Here is an 8,393-nt window from a genome sequence, read left to right as displayed (position 1 = left end):
GTAGAAACCACAATCCAGTGTGACTGAGTAGCGTTTCTCATCTGAACCAGAATCACCTGGAATAGATTCCTGGACTCTACTGCCGACATTGAATCAGAATCTCTGGATATGGGACTCTGCAGTTTACCACACTCATCAAATAATTTTTCTGCTACAGCGGTAATAGTTTTAACTAGCATAAGAGATGCATGTTAATCTGAGCTACGTGTTGGCCCAGAGTCCAGAGTCCTCCCAGGAAGGTAGAACACAGTCTACTTTATGCTTTAGTTGAAAGGATGTATTTGCAAATACGTTGCCTCCTTATGCAAGATGCTTCTATTTTGGTTCTTGTCATTGCTGAAAAACATATGCTTTGCATCAGACTCAAAAACAAATTTTCTTGCTAGTTACTAGTTGAGTGACTCAGGACAAGTTGCTGAAAGTTTTAAAACTCATTTCTCAGTTTAAAAACATGTGTAATACCTGCCTTGCAGAATAGGAATACATCTGGGAAGTGCCTGGCATATAGTACACCCTCAATAAATGGTAGCTATTGTTGTCATCTGTGGTTAATCTTATGTCTATGACTGGGCCATCAGGTGCCCAGACATTTGGTCAAACATTATTCTGGGTGTGTTTGTGAAGCTCCTTCTGGATGAGATTAACATTTGAATCAGGCCAGGCATGGTGGCTCATGTCTATAATCCCAGCACTTTGGGAGGCCGAGGGAGGCAGCTCACTTGAGTCTAGGAGTTCAAGACCAGCTTGGGCAACATGGCAAAACCCTGTCTCTACAAAAAATACAAAAGTTAGCTAAGCGTGGTGACGCATGCCTGTGGTCCCAGCTACTTGGGAGGCTAAGGTAGGAGGATTGTTTGAGCCCAGGAGGTCGAGGCTGCAGTGCACTGAGATTGTGCCACTGCATTCCAGCCTGAATGACAGAGTGAGACCCTGTCTCAAAAACAAAACAAAACAAAAAGCCCCACACATTTGAATCAATGGATTCAGTAAAGCAGATGGCCCCCCTAATGTGGATGAGCCTCATCCAGTCAGTTGAAGGCCTGAATAGAACAAAAAGGCCGAGTAAGAAGGATTTCTTCCGGCCTGACTGCCTTTGAGCTGGGATATTGGTTTTTACCCTGCCTTTAGATTTGAACTGAAAATCAGTTCATCATAGGTCTCGAGCCTGCTGGCTTTTTGGCTGGAACTATACCATCAGCTCTCCTGGGTCTCCAGCTTGCCAACTACAGATTTTGGAATTTAAACTCCATAATCACATGAGCCAATTCCATATAATAAATCTCTCTCTATATATGTATACACCCGATGGTTCTGTTCCCCTGGAGAACGCTGACTGATACATCACCACAGTCAAATGCTACTATAATCCCTTCTTTGGGCCTACAACATTTTCTCCTCTGAATGGTAGCAACAGCTTGTGGAAGAAGATACCTTTATTTATTTTGATTTCTTATTGACACATAATAATTGTATATATTTATGGAGTACATTGTGATGCTTTGACACATATAATAATGTGAGGGGATCAGATCAACGTAATTAGATATCCATCATCTCAAACATTTATCATTTCTTGTGTTGGAAACATTCAATATTCTCTCTTGTAGCTATTTGAAAATATACATTATTGTTAACTATGGTCATCCTACAGTGCTATGAAACACTAGAACTTGTTCCTCTTATCTAGCTGTAATTTTGCATCCTTTAATAAATCTCTCCCTATCCCTTCCTTTCCTCTACCCTTTCAGGTCTCTAATAACCTCTATTCTGCTTTCTACTTCTATGAGATCAGCTTCATTTAAGGTTCCATATACGAATGAGAACACGCAGTGTTTAACTTTCTGTTCCTGGTTTATTTCACTTATTTGTCAAGCTCGCCAACTGCATATTTGGGGATTTAGCCTCCATAATCACATGAGCCAATTCCTTATAATAAATCTTTCTCTCTACACATACATTCTGATGGTTCTGTTTCTCTGGAGGACCCTGAGAAATATAATGTCCTACAGTTCCATTCATGTTGCCTTGAATGGCAGGATTTCATTCTTTTTATGGTTGAATAGTATTCCATTGTGTATATATACCTCATTTTCTTTGTCCATTCTTCAGTTGTTAGACATCTAGGTTGATTCTATATCCTGGCTATTGAGGCTACTGCTGCAATAAACATGAGCGTGTAGATGTCTCTTCGATATATTGATTTCTCTTTCTTTGGATGACTACCTGGTAGTGGGATTGATGAATCATATGGTAGCTCTATTTGTAGTTTTTAGAGGAACTTTTACGCTATTGGAAATGTCTTTAGACCAATAGGAGCAAAAGAATTTTCAAGTAGGGAAGGATCTATATAACTCAAAATTTCTTTTTAGAGATGATGAAACAGGGGCCTAGCAACAGCTAGGTAGTGACAATACTAGGATTAGAACCCAAAGACTACAGGAGATTTTGTTTTAAAGAAGGATTTTATTCTTCATTTGGTTTGGGGGACAAAAGAAACATTTCTGAGCATAAAATTGAGTTCTCGAGAATAGCTACCCAAAGGATGTTTGTTGCTTTATACTTTGTATTTAAGTCAGTTCAACCTATTTTCACCATTTTTCTTCATATTTATCAAACAATTTCAAGGTGAAAATATATGACTTTGAGGGGCAGAGTCTTAGAGTCAACAAACCTCACATGAGCCTAGCCCTGCCACTGACTGTAAGCCTAGGCTGGTTACTGAGCCTCTCCATGTATGGCCCTATCCATGAAATTAAAATTGTACCTACTTTGCAAAGATTGTCATGAGGAATAGAAATAATATACTTGGTTAGGCGTGGTGGCTCACACCTATAATCCCAGCACTTCGGGAGGTCTACGAGGGAGGATCACTTGAGGTCAGGAGTTCGAGACTAGTCTGGCCAACATGGCAAAACTCTATCTCTACTAAAAATACAAAAATTAGCTGGGCATGGTGGTGCACGCCTGTAATCCCAGCTACTCGGGAGGCTGAGGCAGGAGAATCGCTTGAAGCCGGGAGGCAGAGGTTGCAGCGAGCCAAGATCAAGCCACTGCACTCCACCCTGGGTGACAGAGTGAGACTCCATCTCAAAAAAAAAAAAAAAAAAGAACTCACCTAGCACAGTGTCTGAAGAAACACAGTAGGTTCGCAATATCACTATTATTAGCTAACATTTTTTGAGGGCTAGCCATGTGTGTAAGGACTTGACCTGGACTGTCTCATTTTATCTTTACAATAACCAAGTGAAGCAGATACTGTTATTGATCCTCATTTTTCCAGAATTTTAAATAGCTACTCAGCGGTGGAGCTGGAACGTATGCCCTGGTAACCTAGATTCCAATCAGTGTGCCTAACTAATCTATTGCCATGAGTCTATTTGCAAATATTTTTATCCTTGATTAGGGAATTTAATGTGTTTGGCTTTGGTGCTCAGAAAAAAAGAAATGGGAACACATGCCAATTGAATGCCCATTATATGCAGGTACTATGCTAGACAATTTCAAAAATATTTTATTTTAGTTACTATTTCATCAGTCTTATTTTTTTTTATTTTTATTTTTTTAGAGACAAGATCTCACTATGTTGCCCAGGCTGGAGTGCAGTAGCTATTCATAGGCACAATGATCACACACATAGCCTCAAATTCCTGGGCTCAAGTATCCTCCTGCCTCAACTTCCCAAATAGCTGGGACTACAAGTATGCACCACCATGTCCAGGTAATCACTGTCTTTTTTTACCTCTAAGATTTATAAAGTTTTCTAAGACACCACAGATAGAAGCTATCTTTTGTAGTAAAGAAGTGCAGCTCTTGCTTTCCACTAATTTTTATTGCTGCTCTTCTACCAGAAGGTAGATTATCCATTGTTATTTACATTAATTATTTACATTGTTTACATTGTTGAAACATTGAGATGCTAGGTTGACAGATGATACAAAATATGTGGTACCTTTGCTTAGAAACTTTTATTCTAAAAAGTTAATGGACAAACGTTAACTTTTCTGAGAGATTAAAATACTGCTTCCGTTAAATAAGCATTTTTGTGTGTAGGCTGTTTTTTTTTGTTTGTTTGTTTGTTTGTTTTGAGACGGAGTCTTGCTCTTTCGCCCAGGCTGGAGTGCAGTGGCACTATCTCGGCTCACTGCAATCTCCGCCTCCCGGGTTCACACGATTCTCCTGCCTTAGCCTCCCGAGTAGCTGGGACCACAAGCGCCCGCCACTACACCCGGCTAATTTTTGGTATTTTTAGGAGAGACAGGGTGTCACCGTGTTAGCCAGGATGGTCTCAATCTCCTGACCTCGTGATCCACCCACCTCGGCCTCCCAAAGTGCTGGGATTACAGGCATGAGCCATCGTGCCTGGCCTGTTTTTTTTTTTTTTTTAAAGTTTGATTGGAAGCAAGAAGGAGGAGGAATATTATCAGAGAAGGGCAGCTTTGAGGAAAGACTGCTGTAAAGATGTAAAGATCCTTATTTTTTTTTTTGAGATGGAGTTTTGCTCTTTTTGCCCAGGCTGGAGTGCAATGGTGCGATCTCGGCTCACTGCAATGTCTGCCTCCCGGGTTCAAGCGATTCTCCTGCCTCAGCCCCCTGAGTAGCTGGGATTACAGGCACATGCCACCACCCTGGCTAATTTTGTATTTTTAGTAGAGACAGCGTTTCTCAATGTTGGTCAGGCTGGTCTTGAACTCCCAACTTCAGGTGATCCACCTGCCTCAACCTCCCAAAGTGCTGGGATTACAGGCGTGAGCCACCGCGCCCAGCTGTAAAGATTCTTTGACAAATCTCTTATAAATTTATAAAATCTAAAATCTTAGAATTGGAAAGAACTTACAGATAATTTAGTTTAGCCTTGGCCTCATTTTACAGAGAAGGAAACCAGACCTAGCAGAGGATATGTTTTGCTCAAAGATAAAACTCAGGTTTCTGAACTCCTAGATGACAACTAATACATTATTAATTAAAAATAACTATATATAACTTCTGTTTGATAATGCCTTTAGGTAGTAACCTCTAAAATAGCCACATCAGCATTTTTCTAAGCCAGTTCCTGAATACCCACTTTGTGTCTGATTCCTCCAATCCAGTGCAGTATACATTTTACATAGACTTGGTCTGGCAATGAGGAAAGAGCATTCATTTTCAATCTTGGGTCTCAGCATAATTTGGTATATAACACTGCAATCGACTGTACCCTGTAAAGCTTTAAGGGGATGGTATTCCAAGAATTAGTATTAGTCTGAAAAAGCAAGTGTTTTGTTTCTCTTTCACTTTTTTACACATCCGTGGTTCCTGGGGGTAAAATAAATGTTTTCACTCTAATGGGTGCACTGGAGGGAGGCATTCTAAATGGAAGGAAGGCATATACAAAAGCCTAGAGGCTTCCTGAGACATCAGGAGGTGTTTGGGGCCCTTCAAGCAGTTGGTATGACTAGAGCACTTTGGCCCCACAGAGATCTGAGTCAAGAGCCAGACCTGCTCTACTCTGCATACCTTGAACTTTAGCTTGAAGGCAGTGGGGAGCTATTGAAGGATTTATAGCAGAGGAATTACAGAAATATAGTTGCTTTTAATTATTATTAATATTATTATTATTTGAGACAGAGTCTCACTCTGTCACCCAGTCTGGAGTGCAGTGGCATGATCTGAGCTTACTGCAACTGCCGCCTCCCAGGTGGGTTCAAGTGATTATCCTGCCTCAGCCTCCCCAGTAGCTGGGATTACAGGTGTGCACCACCACACCCGGCTAATTTTTGTATTTTTAGTAGAGATGGGGGTTTTGCCATGTTGGCCAGGCTGGTCTCGAACTCCTGACCTCAAGTGATCCACCCGCCTTGGCTTCCCTCAGTGCTGGGATTACAGGTATGAGCCACTATGCCTGGCTGCTTTTAATTATTTTGATCACACAGATAATATATGAATACATTTTAATATAAACTCAACTATTAAATCCAAAGTCAAAGTTCTTCACCACTCCCTCCATCCCCAGTTCCTCCTCCGAGGTAATCACTTAGCTGCTTGGTACATACCTCTCCAAACATTTTAAAAAGTGCATTCACAGCTGGGCGCAGTGGCTCACGCCTGTAATCCCAGCACTTTGGGAGGCCGAGGCGGGAGGATCACGAAGTCAAGAGATCGAGACCATCCTGGCCAACATGGTGAAACCCCGTCTCTACTAAAAATACAAAAATTAGCTGGGTGTGGTGGCAGGCACCTGTAGACCCAGCTACTCGGGAGGCTGAGGCAGGAGAATAGCTTGAATCCGGGAGGCGGAGGTTGCAATGAGCTGAGATGTGCCACTGCAATCCAGCCTGGCAACAGAGCAAGACTCCGTCTCAAAAAAAAAAAAAAGTGCATTCACTTATGTATACACATGCATAGGGATATTTCTGGATCTGGGATTATTTTGTGTGTTTTCAAACAAATATTATCCTGTGAAAAGATAAATTAAGAGGGACAGAGCCCGGGTTTGGGTAATTCTGAGAGCCAGCTGGCCATCTGTTTACTTTGCTTGGTGTTCACAGCATATTTTGTGAACATTCCAGTTTTTCTGTGAGATTCTCACAGATGAATTGGTGCTGTGGGAACCATCTGGCAGACCCCAGCCACAACAGCTGCAAATCCTTACAGCCATGTCTACCAGGTCAGCCTGCACTGGGACCTGCCTGAATCAAAAGTTTGCTGCCTGAATTTGTGCATTACAATTCAGCTGGAATTCACAGATATTAAATGTTCTTTGTTGGGATTAGGAAAGGGACAATGTGCTTGCCATGTGTTATGGAACAACTGAGGACACAAACATGACCATGGTTTCCCTTCCTGAAAGAAGTAAAACATTTATTATTTTTGGATTGGTCTACATTGTAATAAAAGTTGATATGTAACAAAACATATCTACATAGTGATTTTTTTTTATTGTCAATTGTCAAAGTTTACTACCACACTAACAGAACAATGACTTTTAACATACGGGTATATCCATAGATTAGGTCTCATTAAAGCTGTTACTAAATGGGGTCTAGGGATGGGGTCTAAGGAATACAGCTTTAGGAACAAATGTGGAAATGGGGATAGATTTATTTATTCCACTCATTAATTCATTCAATATAGTTTTTTGTTGGGAGCAGACAAGGTCTCTCGCTTTGTCACCTAGGATGTGGTGCAGTGGATTCGACATCTGGGCTTAACAGATTCTCCCATCTCAGCCTCCTGAGTAGCGGGGATTACAGGCATGCGCCACCACGCCCGGCTAATTTTTGTATTTTTTTGTACAGACAGGGTCTCCCAGGTTGCCCAGGCTAGTCTCGAACTCCTGGGCTCAATCAAGCGATCCGTCCACCTTGGCCTCCCAAAGTGCTGGGATTACAATCAATATACATTTAGTACCTATTATTTATGGGCTAATCATGTGCTAATGGACTGGTGGAATCACTCTATTCCCTTTGCTCTAGATTGAAGCTTCGAGACCACCTGGGAAAATAGACAACTAATGTAATGAATATCCATAACCAGTTTCAGAGACAACCAGTAGTTTGCAAGTTATTCCACCCATTAAACGATTCCAAATGTTGGAGAAAAGGCCCCCAACTTAAAATACTCCACGGAAACGTGCTCTATACATCTATGTGGTGCTTACAATAAAAGATGAATTCCTGCGACTGAGTTGCAACCCCGAAAGAAATGATTTAGAGAAAAAAAGAAAGAAAGAAAAAGGTAAGTATGTCACCGTGCTTTTGGAAAATGCTTTTGGGATTTGTCCAAGTTCTAGAGTGGAACCCAAGGCTCCTGGGCCAGGGGACAGAAGTGATAACTAAGTAGGATGCAATTTAGTTGGAATCTTCCCTGACCTTAATCCCATAAACAGTTGCCTAGGTAAAGGCAAAGTCTACAGGCCCTAAAACAGGGTACAAGCTTTCCCTAAAACATATTAGAGAGAGGCACTTTCAACAGGACCTTGTTGCAGGATCCCTAAAAAAAAAATTCAAAACAAGGAGATTTACATGTTATTCACCTTATCATAATTTCAGAAATATTTTACTAATAAAAAAGGAGTCGTGAAGTCTGGAACACCTTAAGACGTGACGTCTGCAACACCTTAAGAACAATGATTACAAATGTATTAATATTCTCTCTGATTTTAAGGGAAAAGTGATGAAGGAACAGGAAGATGGGTGGGCGTATGTTCCCAGAAATCCCCAGAACGTCAAAAAGGAAGCGGAGGCTTTGAGTGGAGGACTACGGAGAGCGTCTACGGTTGTGCCAAAGGAAAAAAAATGTTCCTAAGAAAAGAGTATACAAAGTTGTGTTCATCAAAGTCTGGAACCCAAAGGTGTCCCTCCAAAGCTGTACACGACAGAGAAAACGCGAACTGAAAGAAGAAGCAGGTCCCAAGG

General features: G+C 41.3%; 2 annotated features.

Moving 5' to 3' along the window:
- Nucleotides 8,171–8,230: an enhancer, noted in NCBI's record as "active region_9590". NCBI's record gives its function as "activates an Ori minimal core promoter by ATAC-STARR-seq in GM12878 lymphoblastoid cells {active_cell/tissue: GM12878}" and the evidence as "EXISTENCE:reporter gene assay evidence [ECO:0000049][PMID:35858748]".
- Nucleotides 8,271–8,340: an enhancer, noted in NCBI's record as "active region_9589". NCBI's record gives its function as "activates an Ori minimal core promoter by ATAC-STARR-seq in GM12878 lymphoblastoid cells {active_cell/tissue: GM12878}" and the evidence as "EXISTENCE:reporter gene assay evidence [ECO:0000049][PMID:35858748]".

Source organism: Homo sapiens, chromosome 15 (assembly GCF_000001405.40).
Source record: "Homo sapiens chromosome 15, GRCh38.p14 Primary Assembly".
Lineage (NCBI taxonomy): Eukaryota > Metazoa > Chordata > Mammalia > Primates > Hominidae > Homo > Homo sapiens.
Note: the sequence above shows the minus strand (reverse complement) of the source record. Positions and strands in the feature narration are given on the sequence as shown.